Genomic DNA, 24,263 nt, shown 5'->3' with positions numbered 1-24,263 from the left:
ACTCCAGAACTCAACGAGTAGCAGTTTCCTAAGGATTAGCTGCTGGGGCCAGAGAAGGGTTTGGAGAGTGAGGCCCAGGGTGCAAACTCAGGGAGGCGCTGGTTCTCAGGGGTGTGCAGCTGCTGACCCAGCGCTTCGTTCCCTTCAACCTAATACCCACCCTGCTAGATGCAAAGTGAAATTTGAATCCAGAGTGATAAACTTTTGCTCTCTGCTCCGTCAAAATTCATTCATTTTTCTTGGACTTTGAGTGGATCTTTTGCCCATGCATGTTTGCACGGGCATGGAACCGTCAGGACTGGGATTTCATCTTACTCCACTACAAACTAATCATTAACTTGTTACTGTTGCATGGATGCTGGCAAAAGAGTTGAGATTCCTGTGTCAGAGACAAAGGACTTTATTATTCACAGCATGCTCACACAGCAAGCAGAGCGGGCAGCAGCCCGTTTTGCACTTGTTCCCTCTGTCCCCCAAGTCCTGCAGAGGTGATGCAGAGGAGCTGAGATAGATGCTACACGCACAGTGGGTTTGCGTTGCAGCTGAGGAGCACTGAGCTTGGAGGCCCATCGCTTTTGTAGCATGCAGTAAGCAAGCCTGCTGTTTGTCCCGGAGGGAGACAGTAGCTCATTCCTCAAGGCTGCTCACTACAAATATAAATCTTAGAAACAGTTTGGATGAAAAGAGTGCCCAAGCTTTGCATTCTTGGCACACCCAGAAAGACCTGTGGGAGCGTGAGAGATCCACAGAGGATGATCTTTTCCTAACGGAAGCATGAAGCGTTGGTCATCTGGAAAATATTGGTTCACTGAGTTATGTGGATCCTCCAAATGTTGACACATTTCTTTGCACAACATCAAAAAAGCACATTTATTTTTATGTATTTATTTATGTGTGTACTTTTTTTTTTTTTTTTTTGAGATGGAGTCTCATTCTGTGGCCCAGGCTGGAGTGCAGTGGTATGATCTCGGCTCACTGCAACCTCCGCCTCCTGGGTTCAAGCGATTCTTCTGCCTCAGCCTCCCGAGTAGCTGGGACTACAGGTTAGCGCCACCACACCCAGCTAATTGTTGTATTTTTAGTAGAGACGGGGTTTCACCATGTTGGCCAGGATGGTCTCGAACTCCTGACCTCAGCTGATCCACCTGCCTCGGCCTCTCAAAAGCAACTTTTCTTGACATTGGGAGTGTAGAGCAGTAAGGAACACAGAGCTGGCACATCGGGGATCCACTGCCTTGATCTGAATTAGTTTTACCCACGGTCATTTTGTACCTTTTACACTAAATGTCAACATGATGAAAAGGGCAAATAATGTCTTAACAGTCACATGAAAATACTTTTACTTCACAGACCTCTGAATAAGTCGTGGGAGCCCTCGGGTCCTGCAGACCACAAGGGAGGAGCGACTGATGTTCACTTTGGAGACGCGGGCTTCTGATTGCACCCTTGCCCCAGGCCCCGTGAACTCCAGGAAAGGATCTTCCAGGGACACAGACAACAGAACAAAATACTTGTTTGTCTTCAAGGACTTCAGGGTCTTCAGCATGTTCAAACCCACAGGTGCCTTCGGGGACCAAGAGGCAGAGAGATGGGAGGAGCGGCTGGGTGGGGCCCGGGCAGAGCGGAGGACACAGGTGTGAATTTGTGCGCAGCCGCTGCTCCCTCCGGCCAGCCGTGGCCAAGTGGACATTCGGACCCAGAGCGGCCAGATCTTGTAATTTCCAAGAAAGCCAGAAACCCAGATTTTTATATAAAATTTCTGAAATGTTGAAAGTTGGCAACTAATTGTCTTTTTTTTTCCTTTGAGTCGGAGTCTCGCTCCGTCGCCCAGGCTGGAGTGCAGTGGCACAATCTCGGCTCACTGCAAGCTCCGCCTCCCGGGTTCACACCATTCTCCTGCCTCAGCCTCCCGGGTAGCTGGGACTACAGGCGCCCGCCACCACGCCCTGCTAATTTTTTTGTATTTTTAGTAGAGACGGGGTTTCACTGTGTTAGCCGGGATGGTCTCGATCTCCTGACCTCGTGATCCGCCCATCTCGGCCTCCCAAAGTACTGGGATTACAGGCGTGAGCCACCGCGCCTGGCCGGCAGCTATTTATCTTAACAAAACAAATCTGTGAGGCTAAACAGAAGACCCCCAGGCTGGGTTCAGGCTATGGGTGCCAGTGTGCAGCCTCTGGTCTCGAGGGAGAGCCAGACACATACATCATTACAACATGAGCTGATGTGGGGTTACAAGGTGCCCTGGGAGCAGAGAGAAAGAAGGGCCTGATAATCACAGCTTCCCTTTCCTGAGAACTTGCAGGTACCGGGGGGTCTACACACCACGGCTTCACGTAATCCACTTGGCAACCTCACAAGGTAGGAATCATGATGACCCGCGCTATTTTATAGAGGAGGAAACTGAGACTTAAGGTGCATAAGTAACCGACCAGGCCGCAGCTCTCCCCTCGCCTCCTGCAGCTCTCCCCTCACTTCCACCTCTCTGTCTCTCTGGGTTTCTTGCTGCACTCATAGGAAGCAGGCTTCTGCCTTGGGGCCTTGGCATATGCTGTCTCCTTCTGTCTGGATGGTTCTTTCCCCAGAAGAACTTCCCCCTCCACTGCATTCAGGCAGCTACTGAAAACCACCTTCTCACAGAGCCCTTCCCTAACTCCCTGTCCCATGATAACCACACACACACACACACACACACACACACACACACACTGTACACCCTCACCCTGCTTTATTTCCTTCTGTGTATAATTTCCAGAAATTACTGGATTCCTGTTCCTGTTTATTTTCTATCTGCTGTCCCTGCCAGTGCCATCCCCACTAGAATGCAGCTGCCTGCGTGAGGTCACCTGGCACCTAGGACAGCGCTGGTCCCTGTGAGTGCTCCCTAACTGTGCCGCCTGGATGGAGGGAGACCTACCGCTGGGCTCAAGACGCAGGAACACGAGGCACACACAGTTATGACTCATCAGACCCTTGCAATTTACTTCAAAAGAGTCTAATGACAACGAACTGTAAAACGCTGTGAGAAATCGGCACAGGGAGGGAGAGGTGAGCTGAGTGTGAGATCGGGACAGGCCCCGTCTGGGGGGATGTGGTGCTTGGGCTCCAGAACACCCCCCCGGGGTCTTTCCCACAGGCACAGCCACCCAAGGAGAGCTCACCTCGGCCGGCCACAAGCAGGTTACCTACTCAATTCTTCATGCACAAACAGTAGTGACAGACTCACAATATGAAATTGACTGACAACCCAATTTCAAAAATAACTTATGGGAGCCTTCCCAAAAGAAGATAGCAAGTGGCAGATACATGTATGAAAAGGGGCTCAACCTCATTCTTCATCGGGGAAACTCAAATGAAAACCACGCTGAGATACTGCAGTGCTCCAGCAGAATGGCTGAAATTAAAGGCTGGCTGTACCCCGTGTGGGTGTAGATGTGGGGCAGTTAGGACCCCCGTGCACGGTTGGTGAGCATATTAATTGGTACCACCACTGCACAGAAATGTCTGGAAATCCCTCCTCTTCCCTAACATATGCGGGTCCTTTGACCCACATGTTTCTCTCTTGTTCTATATTGAAGAGAAATGAGTGTGTATGTTACAGAAACACCAGGGGTTTGTCTAGGTGCTGCTGCTCGCCACACAAAAAGCCAGTCACTGAGACAAGGAGCATTGCCAGAGAAGAAGCTTTAATCCCGTGCTGCAGCCCAGGAGATGGGAGATCAGTCTCAGCCCATCCCCTGACCCACGAAAATCAGGGGTTTATGTAGCAGAGAAGAAATGTAACCATGTGTGTGAAAACAGGAATCAGGGAGGGGCGAGGAAGAGTCGGTCACCAGGAAGCAGGTGGTGGGTTAGGCAATTCCCAGGCTGGAGGGTGTGGGGGTCTTGGGAGTTTTTTTTTTTATTCTATCTGGGAGGCCTGATAGGTGGTTTCTTGGGAAAGGAACTCAGATAAGACAAGAAGGATCTTATCTTGTGAGACTGGAAGGATCATTTCTATGTTTATTCAAAGAAACCATAAACATCAGTTCTATGGGGCAATTGGGCCGGTTTCACTTCTCTCCGATAACGAACACATTGAAGAATGTTCATCATAACTTTATTCCTAATAGTCAAAACCCCAAACACTCATCAGTAAATGAGTAAGTGAACTGTGGCCTGTGCATCTGAAGGAGAACTACACACACACAGCAGAGAACAATCTCAGCAGCGTGGTGACGCTCACGCTGGGTAAAAGAGGCCAGACACAAAAGGGGATGTACCGAAAGATTCCTTTTATATAAAGGACAAGAGTAGGCAAAACTGTTATGTGGAAATGAGAACAATGGTTACCTCCTAGGGCAGAGGAGCGTACAGACCAGGAAGGCAGAGGAGGGGCTGTCTTGAAATGCACCTGGGACTTTGTTTTCCTCAGCTCTGGTCAGATGACAGCCTGGGAGACACTGCCTTTGAATGAAGAGTTGATGACTTTCCAGCATGGGGAAGCACCAGGTCAGTCCCGAGGCAGAAGGAGCAAGGGGAGGGCCCAGGCTGGGCCTTCACTGGGGTCTCTGTGGGAAGGAATAGATGAGGGTGGAGGTGAGCTTGAGCAAGCTTCGGGTGGCCCCGTTTGCCTAATGTTGGCAGGCCCGGAGCTATGGCATGGTCCCTAGTCATCCAGTACCATGCTCTGGAGTGAGATGGGGCAGGGAGAATATTTCCTGGGTGTGTGAGTTAGATAAAGGGTGTGGTGGGGGCAGGGGCTTCTGACTGCTGGTTTGCATAGGGAGGTATGTGCTGTCTCCAGAACTAGCCAGCCCTGGGAGGGGCAGTCCCTTCCCCGCCAGCAAAGCCTCCTGCGATGCCAAAGCGCCATAGAACACAGAAACCAGAAAGCGTGGTTAATCCAGGAGCCACACGAGGACTGATGCCTTCCATATCGGTGTCCTGTATGTGCTCTGCCGTATTCTACCTCCTCTTTTTAAAATGCAAATAGAGAATCCAATCTGAAGAAATAATGCAAAGAAACTCTTTTTGTTGTTGTTTGTTTGAGACAGTCTCGCTCGGTCGCCCAGGCTCTAGTGCAATGGTGCGATCTCGGCTCACTGCAACCTCTGTCTCCTGGGTTCAAGCGATTCTTCTGCCTCAGCCTCCCGAGTACCTGGGACTACAGGCACGTGCCACCACGCCTGGCTAATTTTTGTATTTTTAGTAGAGATGGGGTTTCACCATTTTGGTCAGGCTGGTCTCAAACTCCTGACTTTGTGATCTGCCCGCCTCGGCCTCTCAAAGTGCTGGGATTACAGGCGTGAGTCACCACGTCCGACCGCAAAGGAACTCCTTAGCGCTCCTCAACCACCTCCCTGCCCCTCGCTGTCTTTCTTTCTTTTTTTTTTTTTTTTTTGAGAGGAAGTCTCGCTCTGTCGCCCAGGCTGGAGTGCAGTGGCACCATCTTGGCTCTCTGCAAGCTCCGCCTCCCAGGATCACGCCATTCTCCTGCCTCAGCCTCCCTAGTAGCTAGGACTACAGGCGCCCACCACCAAGCCTGGCTAATTTTTTGTATTTTTAGTAGAGACGGGGTTTCACTGTGTTAGCCAGGATGGTCTCCATCTCCTGACCTCGTCCACCCGCCTTGGTCTCCCAAAGTGCTGGGATTACAGGCGTGAGTCACTGCGCTCGGCCTCGCTGTCTTTCTGGTATCAGCATCCGCCTCCTCCTCCCTCCCAGACTCCAGGCCCTGGGCTCCAGGCACGGTCCATCCCTGTGGCCTCAAGGCACTGGGCACATCCATGCCAGTTTTAGTCTCTGTAACTACACAGCCATGCAGCTGTGAGCTGAGAATTTAACACACTGTCCCTTTCAGTGTCTGTTTCTCCTTCACTTTCCTGTAGCAAAGCAAAAAGGAGGGAAAATGCATCCCAGGTGCCGCCAGCTGCCACTGTTTTTCTTTGTGTGGTGTGTGTGACAGAGTCTTACTTTGTTGCCCAGCCTGGAGTAAAGTGGAGTGATCCCGGCTCGCTGCAACCTCCGCCTCCTGGGTTCAAGCAATTCTCCTGCCTCAGCCTCCTGAGTAGCTGGGATTACAGGCACATGCCACTACATCTGGCTAATTTTTGTATTTTGAGTAGAGACGGGATTTCACCTTGTTGGCCAGGCTGGTGTCGAACTCCTGACCTCAAGTCATCCACCTGCCTCAGCCTCCCAAAGTGTTGAGATTACAGGTGTGAGCCACTGTGCCTGCCCTGCTGCCATGCTTTCAAGCCACTGTTAGGCTTTTCCACATCCCCCAGCATGCACCCACTCTCCCGGGATGGTTAGGGGGCTCCATCACCATTTTCTGGAAACTGCCTCTAGTCAGAGGTTGCCTGGGGCTCTCCACACAATCATGGAGACGTAGAGGACACAGCCTGATGCTAGACTGCACAGGACCCTCTTCCGCCAGATTCCCTGGACACCTCCATCCCCTCTTCTAGCAATCATGTCAGTGCACGGTAGCGCCTGTGTCCTAAGGTTCCCATGCCACAAGGCTTGAACCCTTCACCCCTGTCTCCCGAGGCCAGGATCAAGCCTGCTTGGCCCAGGGGAGGGGGCGATAAATGTCATGGTTGGAAGCATCAGGTGGGAGAGGGCTTAGTGTGGGGTCGTCAGAGTGACACTGAGAGGCTAAGACACACTGTCTGACACAGCCCAGCCAGGCGCTGCCCACAGCTGAGTTTCCAAAGGACACGTTCTGTGTCACCATATTCCAGGATTCAAATCCTTCCAGCCTGGGACAAGTTCCACGGGGTGCCATGAGGCTGCCCCAATTTGATTTTGAAATGTACAGTGAAATGCCTACCTTGGTGGTGGCCAAGGCAGGGTGGGCCCAGATGCCCCTGCTGATGGACACACAGGCACGACACCCACAGTTCAGGGAGCCCGCTCCAGCCTGCCGTGGAGCCCTGGGCCAGGTCGTGAGCCATGAGCCTGCTCGGGACAGTCCTTCCCGATCCTGGAAGGGAGCGGCCCAATTATAACGGCTCCCTCGAGGCTCTCAGTGGAGCCGAGCCCAGAGAGGAGGCCTGCACTGCCAGATGGGCAAACTCATTAGGACTGTGGCATTTTTTATGCAAACGAAGGCAAATACATCCATGGGAGAAATGTAAACAGCAGACACGCACAAGAGCACGGACTTCACCGGGTTTCAAGAGGAGAGGGAGCTGGGACAGGAGGCCAGGAGAGATCCCCACCCCCAGCACTGCCCTGCAGTGGCCTAGCCCAGGCCTTCTGGATCTGCCTACCTGGGATGCCCAAGAGGGAAACTGAGGCCCCACGAGCCCTGCACGTGGGCGGAGCCTGGCCTGACCTGTAGCTCCTTGGGAGGCTGAGGGAGAAGCATTGCTTGAGGCCAGGAGTTTGAGACCAGCCTGGACAACACAGTTAAACCCCATCTGTACAAAACACTAAAAAATTAACCAGGCATGGTGGCGCATGCCTGTGGTCCCAGCTATTCAGGAAGCTGAGATGGGAGGATCACTTGAGCCCATGACTTAGAGGTTATGGTGAGCTGTGATCGTGCCACTGCACTCTAGCCTGGGCAACAGGGTAAGATCCTGTCTTTTAAAATAAATAACATACAATAATATAAAATAAATAAAAATTATAATAAAAATGACTGTAGCGAGAACTCTTAAGGAGAGTCAAGAAGATATTGCAAAGAAACAATATGAAAAAACCAATCTCTTTAAGGGTTCTTCTCATTACAGTTTTTTTTTTTCTGATTCTGTCTTGTTTCTTCACTGGCCAACCCCGCTCTGATGCTTAGCTTGGGTCCCTGCCGCTCAAGCTACTATGTCCTTCCCATCAGTGCTGCTCAGTGTAGTCTTGGACCCATGGCATTCTGGCATCCCCTGGGTGCCTGTTGGAAATGCAGATTCTTAGGCCCTGCCCCAGACCTCCTGACTCAAATCTCTGAGGTGGAGCCCAGGACTGCATATGTTCCAGCTCCCCAGGGGATTCTGTTGAGACCCGGCCTCTATTCTCGGTGGCCTGGCTTTTCCTGCTTCTGTTGGGGGTGAGGCCCCTCCAGACTGAGCTGGTCAGGATCTAGGCTCTTGGCAGCCTGCATGAGGCAGGAGGCAAGTCCCTCTCTCGGGGAAGGCAGTGGCAGGTAAGCAATGGCAGGTGAGTCGGCCAACAAGGCCCTTGCCACTGAGCTGTCCTATGGAGAAGCCCCGTGCCTTTTTCTCAGGGCGCTCTGCGGGTGTGCCTGGGGTCGGACTGAGCCCCAGCAATCTCCCTGCATGTCAGTTACTGCTCTTACTTTCACTGTGGTCCCCGTGGGCTTTTTCAAGGCTCTGTCCTGGCCCAGGGAAAGGTGGACCATGAGACCTCACAGCCAGAAAGAAGCAGCAGCCAACTGAGTTTCCGAATGGATTTGAAGAGCTCACAGCAGAGGAGATACCAGTTTGAAAATCAAGATGTGTTTGATTTGCTTTGGCCATCAAGAGACACATCCTGAAGGACTCTGTCTCAACATTTTTCTACATAAAAAAAGAGTGGGGAAGAATGCAGGTTGGTGGGAGCTGGGAGATAAGGTCCACAGGCCAGGAGAGGGCCCCCAGGCTGGGTCGTGTGAGGCAGTGTCCATCTGAGAAGGAAAGTCTGCTGGCTGCAGGGTCCCAGCACCCAGGAGCTAGAGGAGAGGGGGTGGGAGGGAGAGCAGCTACGTGTCCCTGGGTTTCTTGAGCGAGGACTGATAAACCCCAGGGGCACGTGTAGCTGCCACAAAAGCATGCACCTCGAGTGCTTCCCCCTCCTAGCTGGCGGGAGAGGAAGGGACCAGGATGGAGGCGAGCTTGGCAAAGTCTTTCTGGAATCAGCATCCTCCTCCTCCTCCTTCCCAGACTCCGGGCCCCAGGCTCCAAGCACAGTCCATCCCTGCGGAGGACTTCCGTGGATGCTGGTGGGCACAGATGCCAGCCCATCATGTGCTACTCAGGCAGATGCTAGGGAGCCAGGGGCCAGTCATCGTTCTCCCTGATGCCAGGGCACCACTCTGAGGAAAGGGAGAGAAGGACAGGTTGGTCTAAATCCACCTGCAGGATCTGAGTGACCGTACATGGGGCTGGGGGCTGAAATTTTCTGAGAGGGACTGGATTACATTTTCAGAAATTGGAATCAGAAATTAAAACTGTGTTATGAAAAATAATGAGTTACATTTTGCACATGTGATGTTTGAGCCGGATAATTTGTGTTTGCCGCCTTTATACTTGAATGTGAAAGCACCTTGCACAGCACTTGGCATAAAGTCAGTGCCCAGTGATTACTAGTGAATGCCTTCCTAACTGTGTACATGGCCTGAATGCACACGAACACACGATGGAAACAGTCAGGGAGTGGAGAGGGTGTCCTGCTGATTACTAGTGAATGCCTTCCTAACTGTGCGTGGTCTGAATGCACACAAACACAAGATGGAAACAGTCAGGGAGCGGAGATGGTGCCCCGCTGATGCTGTCCTATTATTTTTATTCAGAAGTCTGTTTGCCTTTTTACACATTTTTGATCCTACCATATAAACGATTTTTATAACATTCATGTTATGTTACATTCACATTTATTGCTAATTTTTATAACATTAGTACAAGATGATTGAATTCCTCCTTGGTCAGAAGACCCACGTCTGAATCCTGGATCCACTACTTGTTAGTTGAAGCAAGCAACTGTGCCTCTCAGTCTGTGAAAAGGAGGCAATGCCTAGCTCAGGAGGCTGACAGGATGAAGTCGGAGAGGAATGAATGGAAGTCTCTTGGGACTCAGGCCTGCCTGATACTTTCTGGGCAGCTTAAAATATGTTTTCTGAATGTTAAGGGAAGCACAGAGCAGGCATGCATGCAGATGGGGGTGAAATATTACTTCCATTCTTCCATGTGTGAGTCCTAAACACACACCACCTCCCCCACACACAAACAGACCTACAACACATGCCACACGTAACACAGGCACAGGCACACGCACACGCACCGCAGCAACACACACTGCACGCACACACAACACAGACTGTAACACATACACACGTATACCACCTACCACACTACACAAGGCCCCACATTCACATGATACACATGTACCACATGCACATATATGACCCGCATCACCAACAAACACACGTGCATCATGTGTACACATACACATCATAGGTACACATCACATGCACACATGGCCCACAGGAACACACACATATGCCACATACTGCATGCATGCACATCCACAACACACGCAATACAGGCACATACAAGCCATATGTAGACACTGCGTGCACACACATTTACACCACACTACATGCACACACCATATTCACACATACTTGCACACACACCACTGATACACATACTTCCACACATGTCCGCAGCCTGCATGCACAAACCATATTATGCACACACACCCCATATACTATTAGGTTGGTGCAAAAGTAATCGCAGCTTTTGCCATTACTTTCAATAGCAAAAACTGCGATTACTTTTTTTTTTTGAGACACAGTCTTACTCTGTCGCCCAGGCTGGAGTGCAATGGGGTGATCTCAGCTCACCGCAGCCTCTGCCTCTGGGGTTCAAGTGATTCTCCTGCCTCAGCCTCCCCAGTAGCTGGGATTACAGGTGTGCGCCACCACTCCTGGCTAATTTTTGTATTTTTAGTAGAGACGGGGTTTCACCATGTTGGCCAGGCTGGTCTTGAACTCCTGACCTCAGGTGATCTGCACACCTCGGCTTCCCAAAGTGCTGGGATTACAGGCGTGAGCCACCATGCCCAGACAAAAACCGTGATTACTTTTGCACCAACCTGATACGTGTGCACAGACAAGTTCGGTAAGCAGGCATTGCAATAATTAAAGATGACACGAGGTGGCACCATGACACTTTTACTCAGAAATTTTATTTGCCTATTTTTATACAGTTGTGATTATACTCTATATTAGTAGTTCTCAAAGTGTAGCCAAAACTATTTTCATAATAATGGTAAGATGTGATTTGCCTTTTTTCATTCTTATTCTCCCATGAGTATACAGTGGAATTTTCCAGAGATGCTGTGATGTGTGACATTGTAACAGATTGAAGGCAAAAGCAGATCTGAGAATCAGCTCAGACATCTACCTAGAGATTTGCCAGCGGCAATGCAACTCACTAATTTTGCAGAAGATATTGTTGCTTTCCATACAAAATTATTTATTGTTAACATACAACAATGGGTTTGTTGTTTTTAATTTAAAAAATTGAGCAATTTGAATTCTTTTTAAAGCTTATTTTTAATTGAAAATGAAATTATTTAACGTGTACAACATGATGTTTTGAAATATGTAGACACTGTGGAATCATTACTATTTTAAAATAAGTAAATATTTCAAAACCTCCTCAAATTTAATCTGTATTACAGTAAAATTGATAGATGCAATTCACGTAAAGTTCCTTAGGGTCCACAGGAGATTTTCAGAGTATAAAGCTATCCTGAGAAAGAATATTTAACAATCACTCTTCTATATGTAATCACATGTCCACAAATACTTTTGAGGTTAATCATTTATTTTAAATTTATAAGGAACCAACAAGAACAAAGAAAAGGAAAACACTTGTAATCCTATTGCATGGGGACAAGAGACAATCACGACTGACATTTGCCAGGTTTTCTCCTAGTTGTGTTTCAGAGCATCTGTTTCCAGGTTAGTGTGTTCTGAATACAGGCTCTGTGTCCTACGCTCTGAATATGAGCCCCGCGTCCTAGCCTCTGGGTATAAGCCTTGTGTCCTAGGTTCTGGGTATAAGCCCCGGGTCCTAGGTTCTGCATATAAACCTTGTGTCCTAGGCTCTGGGTATAAGCCTTGCTTCCTAGGCCCTGGGTATAAGCCTAGGGTCCTAGACTCTGGGTATAAGCCCCGGGTTCTAGGCTCTGGGTGTAAGCCCCGCCTCCTAGGCTCTAGGTGTAAGGCCTGGGTCCTAGGCTCTGGGTAGAAGCCCCGGGTCCTAGGCTCTGGATACAAGCCTTGTGTCCTAGGCTCTGGGTATAAACCTTCTGTCCTAGGTTCTGGGTATAAGCCTTGTGTCCTATTCTCTGGTTCTCAGCCCCTTGTCCTAGGCTCTGGGTATAAATCTTGTGTCCTAGACCTTGGGTTAAACCCCATGTCCTAGGCTCCGGGTATAAGCCCTGTGTCCTTTCTGCATATAAGCCTTGTGTTTCCTAGGCTCTGGGTATAAGCCCCATGTCCTAGGCTTTGAGTATAAGCCCCATGTCCTAGGCTCTGGGTATAAACCTTGTGTCCTAGGCTCTGAGTATAAGCCCCACGTCCTTTCTGGGTATAAGCCTTGTGTCCTAGGCTCTGGGTATAAGCCCCATGTCCTAATCCCTGGGTATAAGCCCCGGGTTCTAGGCCCTGAATATAAGTTCTGTGTCCTTTCTGGTTATAAGCCTTGTGTCCTAGTCTCTGGGTATAAGCCCCATGTCCTAGGCCCTGGTTATAAGCCCCGAGTTCCAGGCCCTGGGTGTAAGTTCTGTGTTCTTTCTAGGTATTAGCCTTGTGTCCTAGGCCCTGGGCATAAACCTGTGTCCTAGGCCCTGGGTATATGCCCCAGGTTTTAGGCCGTGGGTATAAGCCCCAAGTCCTAGGCTCTGGATAGAAGCCCTGGGTTCTTGGTCCTGGGTATGAGCCCCATATCCTAGGTCACCAACCAGATTGAGAGCCCAGTCAAAGTTCTTTCTCATGGTGTGTCTAGGACGTCAGAAAACCTAGAGATGTGGCCGGACTCTGAGCCCCCTGAAAAGGGTTCCCAGACCTTTTGTGAGAGGGAGGCTTTGTCTGCCCAGAGCCCACCTAGTCTTGGAGTCTTGGAAGGCTGCCCGGCACCTCAGGTAGGCCTGTTTGCACCTCAGCCTCACCCTGGTCTGGGTATCCACTCCATACAGACATGTTTTTAAAAATTGAGGAATAGCTTTGTGCAGTGGCAGTATCATAGCCAATGAGGTTTATCCGAGGCGTGATTATTGCTAATTGAAAAATTGAGGAATAGTTTAGTAAAACACACAGATCTTAAATATATAATTCAATGGCTTTTTACAAATATCTATCTGTAGCCAACACCCCAATCAAGGCAGAAAACATTGCCACCATTGTAGAAAATTCCCCCCAATCCCTTTACAGTCTACTCAACTTCCCTTGTCCCCTAATCCCCAAGCAGCCACTATTCTGATTTGCATTCCAGAAAAGTAGTTTTTCTGGATTTTTTTTTAACTGACTTTCGCTCTTGTCGCCCAGGCTCGAGTGCAGTGGCGCAATCCTGACTCACTGCAACTTCCACCTCCTAGGTTCAATCAATTCTCCTGCCTCAGCCTCCCAAGTAGCTGGGATTAGAGGCGTGCACCACCACGCCTGACTAATTTTTGTATTTTTAGTAGAGACGGGGTTTCACCATGTTGACCAGGCTGGTCTTGAACTTCTGACCTCGGGTAATCCGCCCACCTCTGCCTCCCAAAGTGCTGGGATTACAGGTGTGAGCCACCGTGCCCAGCCTGGTTTTGAATTTAATAAATCTGTATGACATCCTTTGTATGGCTCCTTCAGTTCAAAACACTGTGTTTTTGTTGTTGTTGTTGTAGAGATGGAGTCTTGATCCATTGCCCAGCCTGCTTTCAAACTCCTGGGCTCAAGCAATCCTCTGCTCTTGGCCTCCCAAGTGTTGGGACTGCAGGTGTGAGTCATCGCACCAGCCAGAGTCCAATCGTGTCTCTAGTGAGAGCAGCCACTTTAATATAAAGGCTCAGGAATTCCTCCTCATGTTTGCTGCAGTGGCACTTGCCCTCTGAGTATCAGTTAGCTATTGTCACACTTATGCTGTGTAACAAACCATCCCCACATCTCAGTGGCAAACAGTAATAATCATTTATTTCTTACTCATGAGTTTGTGGGTTGGCTGGGCAGCTCTGCTCCACATGCCTCTCATCCTCTTCCTGGGACCAGCAGGGGCAGTTTCGTCTCTGGCTGATGGCAGGGCCCTGAGAGACGGCACATCTAACCCCACAAACACATTTCCAGTTTTGCTGTGTCATGCCTGCTGGCATCCCTTTGGCCAAGCCCAAAGTCAAGGGGTGGGAAAGGGAGGCTATGGCGAGGGTGTGAGTGTGGGTGAAAAACTGGGGCGGGTCATTCAATCTATGTTACCAGTTTCCTGACAATGTAAGTTAAGAGAAAGAGCTTTGTGGCTGACGCCTGTAATTCCAGCACTTTGGGAGGCCGAGGTGGGCAGATCACAAGGTCAGGAGATGGAGACCATCCTGGCTAACACGGTGAAGCCCTGTCTCTACTAAAAATACAAAAAATTAGCCAGGCGTGGTGGCGGGCACCTGTAGACCCAGCTACTCGGGAGGCTGAGGCAGGAGAATGGCGTGAACCCGGGAGGCGGAGCTTGCAGTGAGCTGAGATCATGCCACTACACTCCAGCCTGGGCGACAGAGCGAGATTCTGTCTCAAAAAAAAAAAAAAAAGGTAAAACTGGTTTGGTTTGCTAGTCCAATTATTTAGTGAATCAGTCCAGTTTATTAGAAATCCCAATGAGGTTGTTTTCAGAAGTGAGACAGGTCTGACCGGATCATTTGCAGAAAGCTCTGTTCTTGCTTTGGGACAGTCCTGCCCGCACTGGGAATGTGAATTTAATCGCCGTTCTCTCGCCGCTGCTCCTGCCCGCCTGGGACCAATTCCCTACCACACTGAGCTCATTGGAGACTTTAGTTTCATATTTTTAAGACCAGTTTAGTGCATCATCTCTGTCTTTATTTCTCCCTCCAGCACTTACTGTAGTTGATCTCTTTTATTTTCTTAGATTCTTTGGGGGGAGTTTATAGGTGGGATGAACCCATATATGCATGAAAATGTCTTTATTTTGCACCCCCAATTTAAGGCTAGATTGGCTGGGTCTTGGATCCTAGATTACGAATAGTTTTTTCTTTGGAATGTTAGAGAAATTGCTCTACTATCTTTTAGGATTCGGGATTGATGATAAGTCTTGATGTCAAGCTGACTTTCATTCTATTGTGACAACCTATTCTCTCGGTCAGAAAACTATGAGGATTTTCCTTTTTTCCTTGGTATTCCAAAATTTTGCTGCAATGTGCCTAGATTTCTAAAATTCCACTTTACTTTTTTTTTTTTTTTGAGATGGAGTCTTGCTTTGTCATCCAAGCTAGAGTGCAGTGGGGTGATCTCAGATCACTGCAACCTCCGCCTCCTGGCTTCAAGTGATTCTCCTGCCTCAGCCTCCCAAGTAGCTGGGATTACAGGTGCGCCACCATGCCAGGCTAATTCTTGTATTTTTAGTAGATAAGGGGTTTTGCCATGTTGGCCAGGCTGGTCTTGAACTCCTAGCCTCAAGTGACTGTCTCAGCCTCCCGCTTTATTTAATTAATTTATTTTGAGACGGAGTCTCTCTCTGTTGCCCAGGCTGGAGTGCAGTGGTGCAATCTCGGCTCACTGCAAGCTCTGCCTCCTGGGTTCACGCCATTCTCTTGCCTCAGCCTCCCGAGTAGCTGGGGCTACAGGCACCCGCCACCATGCCCGGCTAATTTTTTTTGTATTGTTTTAGTAAACACAGGGTTTCACTGTGTTAGCCAGGATGATCTTGATCTCCTGACCTCATGATCCACCCACCTCGGCCTCCCAAAGTGCTGGGATTACAGGCGTGAGCCACCACACCTGGCCATGAGTTCCCTGTCCTTCTCAGGGACAGGGAGTCAGTGATTCCTGGGGAGACTGTCTTTCTTCTCTGGACCAAGTATTCGCACTTTCTATATCAACTGGGGGCAAATGCTGTGCGATGCTGGTGACCTTGCTGATTTATTCCCAGAACATGATGCATTTCCTTCCCCTTTCTTTCCCTTTTGTGCTACTTCTAATTAAGGAAGATATTTCTGTCATTTATGGGATTTTGGTTCGGAGGGAGGTCAATCAGGGGTGCTTGTTCCTCCATCTGGCCCTGATCTGCGTTTTTAGCAAAACAACTGAGTTTGGAAGTTTGAAACTAATGACATTAGGGCTGGGAAATTTCTTAATGTAAATATATTTTAGCAGAGTTAATGAAAACTTGGAGTGCTTACAAAGTTGGATATCTTACATGTGTGACAAATTATATATAAACCAGATTTCATTTCCTGTTTTTTTTTTTATTTTTTCTTCTTTTTAATCAGCAAAGGAAAAATGGCAAGAAAACCAAGTCTCTTATCTTATAACTACACATTTTAGGGGAGAATGCATATTGAAACATTTTCAACATTTGCTGTTAAAATGAATACAATTTTACAAAAAGAACCCCCCCCCACACACACAAAGCATAAAGTTCTAGGCGATGATGAGCCCCTCATTCAGAAATGGTCCAGGCTTTGCCTCCGGGAGCCCGTTGGCCCCAGCCTGCTGCTGTTGGCAACCGCAGTGCCGTTTCCCTCACACATCTCTCATCACTATGGTGATTCTTGTTAAATAAAGTGAGCAGTCCCGATCATGTGCACTAGTGCCTTCTTCTGCGTTTAATCTGTGGCTGTCAGTTTCCACAACCCATCTATTCAATAAAGATTTGTTGATTATCTACTATGTGCTTGGGCCCAGTGACGCAAAGATGAATAGGACAAGATGCTTGCCCTTGAGGAAGCTTCATGTAGGGGAGAAGAGGCAGAACAGTTAGATTCCATGGATCCTCTGGCATTTGGAGTCCAACTTTACATGTTTTTGTGAAGTGACTGAATTTAACAATGTCTTATGCTTGTATAATTTTTCAAAAAATATGTTTAACTTTCAAATGGGAGATGCATGACATAGTTCAAACCATCAAAATGATATGAAAAGATATCCCCACCTGCTCATTCTCCTTCCCCCACCTCCCCCTCTAGGCAACCTTTTTCTTTGAGACAGTCTTGCTCTGTTGCCCAGGTTGGAGTGCAGTGGAGCGATCTTGGCTCACTGCAAGCTCCGCCTCCCGGGTTCACGCCATTCTCCTGCCTCAGCCTCCCGAGTAGCTGGGACTACAGGCACCCCCCACCACGCCCAGCTAATTTTTTGTATTTTTAGTAGAGACGGGGTTTCACCATGTTAGCCAAGATGGTCTCAATCTCCTGACCTTGTGATCCGCTCATCTCGGCCTCCCAAAGTGCTGGGATTACAGGCGTGAGCCACCACACCTGGCCATATATATATATATATGGAGTGTCGCTCTGTCACCCAGGCTGAAGTGCAATGGTGTGATCTTGGCTCACTGCAACCTCTGCCTCCCGGTTTAAGCAATTCTTCTGCCTCAGCCTCCTGAGTAGGTGGGATTACAGGCATGCGCCACCACGCCTGGCTAATTTTTGTATTTTTAGTAGAGACGGGGTTTCACCATGTTGGCCAGGCTGGTCTTGAACTCCTGACCTCAGGTGATCTGGCCGCCTTGGCCTCCCAAAGTGCTGGGATTACAGGCGTGAGCCACCGCGCCCGGCCGAGTCAGAATATTTCTAACCCTTTCTTATTTCCCAGTACCAACAAATATTTGCACCCTTTTTTTCAAAGTACTGTATTTGTTTTTGGGTACTATTAAAGTTTCTATTCGCAAAAGGAAAGCCACCCGTCAGTGGACAATGTGGTACACTTGCTGTGTGGTGTTCAGATGAGAACGCACTGAGGGAACTAAGTGTCGCAGGGGTGATGTGGAGGGCAGGCTGGCTGGGGTCCACATTCAAGCTGTCGAGCACCCGGAGGGAAGATCAGGGCCAGACTGTGAAGAACGTGAGCTGCCATGCACTCAGAGCTCTGGGTTTTTCCTGCAAGCAATGGGCAGCCACAGAGGGTTTCACAAAGGAGGAAGGAGGAGGCCAGAACTCCGTTAAGGCAGATGTGAATTCCAGTGGCTGTGAAGGATGGGGAAGAGACTGCAGTGATTCTGTAACTTTTAATTGCTCCATTTACCTGCTATGGTAGCACATGAATGCTACCACTCCTTACATGACATGGAGGGGCCTGGGGAGAAACCCTGGGGACGAGGAATCTCTCTACAATGCTTTCCGACTGCAAAGGTTGAGGGCCACTTTCCCACTGGCTTCCTCAAGAGCGGTCCTTGTCATCGCCATGCAGTGCATGTTGATTCAAACACTATGTGAGTCACTTCAGGCTCACAGAGCAGCTGGTGCCTCAGAACCAGGGCTCCGTATCCTCGAATCGAAGCGTGAGATTGTTTATCCCTTTCAAGGGAGCAAACCATTAGTGGGGCAATACCTTGTTCCAGACACGGTGAAGAGGGGGCGGCAGGGCTGAGAAGAGAAGCCCAGCTTCCCGAGGCTCTGCTCAGCTGCCTTCTGCCCACCCAGTGGCCCTGCCAGCTGTGTTCGTCTGGCTCCTCAAGCAGCGATGCTGTGTGCGGTTTCCATGGCAGTGGGCCCCGGAGGGCAGCCGGGGACACAGCCAGGTGGCTCGCAGCTCACCTGACTGGCTGTTGGCAGGAGGCAGGCGGCCTCCTTCTGCTCCTCTGTTCCTGGAGCTTTCAGAATGTCTTCAGTTACTCCCTTTAGGAGTCTGATCTCTGTGTGAGAGAAACTTAAAGTTCTGGGCTTATAAAGGGTACACTTTATCTCCGAGCGATTGCCTGGCAGTCATGCAGAATGCCAGGGCGGAAAAGTACCGGGAAAGCGCACATCTCTGCAAGGGAGGCTGGAACTCAGGGGCCCAGCTTCCCACGGTGGGCAGCAAGAGCACGCTTTGCACAGAGGAAAGACAGGCTCCGCCTGCAAGGGCCACAGGATGACCTTCACAGGGCCATTGGCACCCGGCCCTTGGGGCTCAGGGTCTGGCATCTTTGATTCATGAACTCAAGAAAACTGTGTGGGTCAGAGTTGCCTCCTGCAGCACACAACTGCTGGCTTACTCACTGTCTTCGCTCCAGGGAGGACTCATCACAGGGTTATTAGGAATCCAGAATCTAGTGGGGGAAACAAAAGCTCTCAAACAGAGAAGAAGTCAAAGTCAGGTCCAAGTTCACGTTGAGCCTTTTCAGCAAGTGCTTCCTGCTCCAAGTTGTAGGCTGTGGCTGCTGAGCTCCCAGCCTGGGGTACTGGGCAAGCCAGGCATGGGGCTCGGCCCTCAGGGTGGGTTCTGGCAGACCACAGGCTTTATGCGAGGAGCTAACACTTAAAAGAATTGCTTGACAGGGATGGAGAGAAAGGCCTGGGGCCAAGGACTCAGGCTCTGTCTCCAGAAATGAAGATGTTCCAGCAGTTTCCATCCAATAGAGACATGAATGTTGGGTCCGCTGGAACACGAGACAGAGCAAAGCTCTTCCTATCTGCTTAGGACCCTAAAGAAATGGCCCTGGGGCCACCTGTTCTTCTAGACTTGTTGAAGGATCAACAGCGGAGTGAAACATATTTTAGTATCAAGCACCACCGGGAAACAAAAAATAAAACTCACTGGGCCGGGCGCGGGGTCTCACGCCTGTAATCCCAGCACTGTGGGAGGCTGAGGCGGGCGGATCACGAGGTCAGGAGATCAAGACCAGCCTGGCTAACAGGGTGAAACCCCGTCTCTACTAAAAATACAAAAAATTAGCTGGGCGTGGTGGCGGGCGCCTGTAGTCCCAGCTACTCGGGAGGCAGAGGCAGGAGAATGGCGTGAACCTGGGAGGTGGGGCTTGCAGTGAGCGGTGATCACGCCACTGCACTCCAGCCTGAGTGACAGAGCGAGACTCCATCTCAAAAAAATAAAAAAAATAAAAATAAATAAAACTCACTTGAAGACCACACACGAGACAAAAGCAGATTTCGTTTTCTTAAGGGGCAACATCTTTTTTGCGCTAATCACCTACCATTAAATCATGAACAAAGACAGTGAAATTCCTGTTGGTAACCCCCAAACTAATTAAGTACATTTCTTGGGTTCTGTATTATGAGCAGTTAGAGGAGACGGAGAGGGAGGGGTAAGTCCATTCAATCGCACTGCAGGAAAACAGTTTTGAAGTACTTACTAGGTTTTAGGTTCCAAAGTAGGAACTGAGAGACCTAGCCCATGTCCCCAGTGGCTGGGGTTTGCTGGGCATTCAGGAAAGCAAGCGGCCAGCCAGTAGGTAGATGGAGGCCCAATGCCCTGGTCCTGGGGCAGCGGCTGGAATGAGAGGGCCGGCCGGCATGGGGGTGTGGACTCCATGTTGCCCACAGAAGAGGCCTTTAAACAGGACAGATGGGATTCTCAGAGACCACCCTGGCTGGTGGCTGGGGCAGGGGAGATGAGACTGTCATGGAGACAGAGAATCTAGTGAGACGTCTGCAGTGGAAAGCCAGAGGGCAAACAGTGGAGGTGTGAGTGGAGGGTGGGTGCGAATTCTCAAAACCCCTGGGCTGGCCCAATGCCTGGGTATAGGAGGAGAGAGAGGGAGGAGCCTGGCCAGACTCCGCAGCTTCTGGCCTGGGCAGCAGCAAGGAAGACCATGCCATTCACCAGGATGAGGACTGGGAGGGCGCCTCGGGGGGTGTGTTGGTGTAGGATAGTGGGAAAGAGAATGATGAGTTTGAATTTAATTGATTTTATTAGGTAGTGTATTGGTCAGGGCTCTACCACAGAAACAGAAGCAGTATGTATATCCATATATACAGAGAGAGAGAGATGCATTGCAAGGAACTGGCTTCCCCAAAGGTGGGGCTGTCAGGGCAAGTCAGGAATCCGTAGGCCAGGGCACTGGAAGGGCAGGCGGGAACTCTCTGGCAGGCGCCGACGCTGCAGTCCAGACAGGGTTTCTCCTTCCTCAGGGAAGCCTCAGTTCTGCTCAAGGCCTTTCATCCTATTGGATGAGGCTGACCCAGGTTACCAAGGATAATCTCCTTTTCTTAAAATTGGCTGACTGCAGACGTGATTTGCATCTACAAAATGCCTTACAGAACACCTAGGCTAGTGTTGAGTTTGTTAGAATCAATTAAAATGAAGACCAGGTCTGAAGAATCCTTGAGCAGACAAAGCCAGTTAGGCCTATATGCGACCTTCACCTTGTTTGATTTGCAAACATAAGTGAAACTTAACTTGAGCTATTTCTTATAAATGTCTATGTTAAAGAGAAACAGAACTTAAGCTCAACTAGTCAGAATCAGCCAAAAAACTTCTCATTATATAACTAAGGACTTTCCAGTGGGATAGACCAAATAAGGCAACTTATAATTATAACCAATTAAATATTTTCTCAGCATCTCTTCCACATTTACCCTAAAACATCTGTGCCTCTGCGTCCTCAGTGCAACCCTCCAACCACCTCTGGTTTGGAGCTGCCTGATTCGTGAATCACTCTTTGCTCAAATAAACTCTTTAACATTTTATTGTCTTGGTTTACTTTTTTAACAGATTAAATAACCGAGTACTATTGTCTAGCCAAGTTGACACCTAAAGCTGACCATCGTGGCCAGGTGCCGTGGCTCACATCTGTAATCCCAGCACTCTGGGAGGCTGAGGTGAGAGGATCACTTGAGCCCAGGAGTTCAAGACCAGCCTGGGGAACACGGCAAAACCCCGTCCCTACAAAGCATGATTAGCTGCATGTGGCGGTGCATACCTGTAGTCACAGCTACTTGGGAGGCTGGAGTAGGAGGATTGCTTGAGCCCAGAGCAAGGCCTCCCCCCCCCCCCCTTTTTTTTTTTTTTGAGATGGAGTCTCGCTCTGTTGCCCAGGCTGGAGTGCAGTGGCACAATCTTGGCTCACTGCAACCTCCGCCTCCTGGGTTCATGCCATTCTCCTGCCTCAGGCTTCTGAGCAGCTGGGACTACAGGTGCCCACCACCACGCCCGCCTAATTTTTTTGTATTTTTAGTAGAGACGGGGTTTCACCATGTTAGCCAGGATGGTCTCAATCTCCTGACCTTGTGATCTGCCCGCCTCGGCCTCCCAAAGTGCTGGGATTACGGGCGTGAGCCACCGTGCCCAGCCAGCCCTGTCTTAAAAAAAAAAAAAAAAAGGACAAAAACACAAAACCAAGTAATTATAATCTGTTGCCCAGGATGAAGTGCAGTGGCGTGATCATAGCCCGCTGCAATCTCAAACTGGGGAGAACTAGCAGGAGTTTGAGATGGGAGGAAAACACTTATAATCACCCTCTACAACGTGTATATATCACTTTATGCTCCTCACAGCTCTCCCTAAAGGAAACCACGGTGAAAGAGTTTCTGTGTCTCCATCCACACATGGGAGGGGGATTTGGACAGGAAACAGAAACGGGGGGTCCTTAGCAACTGGGTAAGATGGGAAGCCATGGGACCCAGGGAGGGTGTGAAAGTCACGAGACGCAGAGGAGAAGGGCAGAACTCTGGGGACACCGTGAGTAGGCGACAGGGTGGAAGGGAAACCAGGAGTGGGGGCACATGGAAGCCTCAGTCAATAGAATCCCAACGAGCTGGTGCACGCTGAGTCCAGAGCAGGTGGCCAGGCAGCCCCCCTGGCTGCACGGCAGAGGGACAGGGAGCAGGGGTGCCAGGGTGGATGATGTTCTTCACACCCAGTTCTGCAGGAAGAAACACCCCACCCTGCAGTCAAGGCTGGGGGCCTTGCTAAGAGCAGGTCAAGGGTATGCTGAAGAAGAAGGAATCAAAGCTTCTATGTTGTGCTGCTGACAGCAGGGGGCAAGGGTGGTTGACACTTTGTTTAAGGTTCACCATCATGAGTTTCTGGTTGAGCAAAGGTTTTCCTGGAGCCTTATTTGGGATTGTGCATAAGAATTTGAGGATGAGGGGTTGACACCATGTAAGGAGGGAGGAGGAGACCCAGCCTATGGCAAGAGGTGGCATGAGGAGTAAAGACGATCAGTGAGATCATCTCGCATAGGGTGGTGGTTCAGGGGCTTGGCAGACGTGACCCACTCCTCAGTTTTACACTGTGCCCTGTTGTGTACAATGGTGGACCCAACCCTATGCCCCCTACTTCTCCAAAAGCTGGAGGGACAGTCTGTATAGCATGACAAAAAAAATGTCTACCAAGTGCATGTGAAGGCCTTGGCCACTGTGCTGGGCCCCTGCCAGTTGTGGCGACCCTTACAGGTGCCCTAACTCCTCCCTGGAGCAGGATCTTTCCAGGCCCCACATCAAATGAAGGCCCAGGGCACTTGCAGATATGGTGGTTACTGGCTTAGCCCATCAATCTCTCAGGGGGATTCGAATGGGAAGGAGTACTTCCCTCTAACACGCAGCCCATGTCCTGGACCTGGAGTTGCCTGTTTCCAGTCATCTTCTGAGGCCCAGAGGAACAAGTACCATGACTTATGTATCTCTTTATGGAGACAGATCTCCTGTCTGCCATCTTTTCTTTCCCAGGCCTTCTCTCTTGATACCCTTGGCTGTTCTGATAAGCTTTGGCCTTTCACTTCCTTAGGCATACTAATCAGAAAGTCCCTCTGTTTTATGGTAAAGATTTTTTTTTTTCCCTAGAGTTCATGGGATGAAGCTTCTAAAGCTCTTGGAATTCTCCAAGTGACAAGCATGTGTTTGTTATTCATGGTGACCCTTGGACCACATCTGAGTTTATGCTATCAAGACACAGGATGGGCCAGGCGTGGTAGCTCACACCTGTAATCCCAGCACTTTGGGAGGCCGAGGCAGGAGGATTGCTTGAGGCCAGGAGTCTGAAACCAGCCTGGACAACATAGATCTCATCTCAAGCAAAGCAAAACAAAACAAAACAAAACAAAACAAACCACCACCCAACACCCAGGATTCTCCTGCTAATAGCTGGCCTGGGATCAAAGAACTTACCCAAATATTAGTAACTTAATAGCTATAACTTCAAATTCATACAAAATACTGTAAGAAAAACCCTGAAAAAGAGAATTTCTCTGCAGACGAAGAAAATATATCAGAAAAGTGTTGCCAAAGGCGGAGGAAAATTGCACTCCAAACTTCCAACATATATTAAGAAAAAAAACCTCAATGAAATAGTTGCAACTATAAAGACCACAAAGCAGAAATGCAAGAACTTACGATAGAAATAGCCAGACAAGAGGAAGAGATGACCAGATAGCAGGTGGACATTATGGACTGGTAGAATTAGAAAAAAAATGAGAAGAAAAGGCCAACCTATTTCAGAATGAACATGAAGTTAAAAGGAGTTTAAGAGAGATAGAGTTGAAAGTATGCTAAGGCAAATAGATGACAGAAATGAGGAAAAAGCATGAACTAGAAGTAAAGGGATGAAGCAGGTTAGAAATACCAGGAAAAGTGGTAAAAGCCTTTGAAATGGACCAGAAGAATGATTAGGTGTCTTCAGTGGAAAACTGCTTTGGATCACAGTG

The 24,263-nt window shown here is 49.4% G+C and overlaps 1 non-coding gene across 1 annotated transcript, besides 2 other annotated features; it reads left to right on the top strand.

Annotated features, from left to right (window-relative positions):
* Positions 4,630 to 5,130: an enhancer, noted in NCBI's record as "H3K4me1 hESC enhancer chr5:178926962-178927462 (GRCh37/hg19 assembly coordinates)". NCBI's record gives its function as "activates a minimal SCP1, AML or CMV promoter by ChIP-STARR-seq in naive H9 embryonic stem cells {active_cell/tissue: H9 hESC(naive)}" and the evidence as "EXISTENCE:reporter gene assay evidence [ECO:0000049][PMID:30033119]".
* Positions 8,923 to 8,972: an enhancer, noted in NCBI's record as "active region_23749". NCBI's record gives its function as "activates an Ori minimal core promoter by ATAC-STARR-seq in GM12878 lymphoblastoid cells {active_cell/tissue: GM12878}" and the evidence as "EXISTENCE:reporter gene assay evidence [ECO:0000049][PMID:35858748]".
* Positions 12,934 to 13,076, top strand: LOC124901224 (U4 spliceosomal RNA). Its single transcript, XR_007059181.1, has one exon. It is a non-coding gene; the product is annotated as a U4 spliceosomal RNA (small nuclear RNA).
* The last annotated feature ends 11,187 nt before the right edge of the window (positions 13,077 to 24,263 follow it).

The sequence above is a fragment of the Homo sapiens genome, chromosome 5 (genome assembly GCF_000001405.40).
Source record: "Homo sapiens chromosome 5, GRCh38.p14 Primary Assembly".
Taxonomy (NCBI): domain Eukaryota; kingdom Metazoa; phylum Chordata; class Mammalia; order Primates; family Hominidae; genus Homo; species Homo sapiens.
Note: the sequence above shows the minus strand (reverse complement) of the source record. Positions and strands in the feature narration are given on the sequence as shown.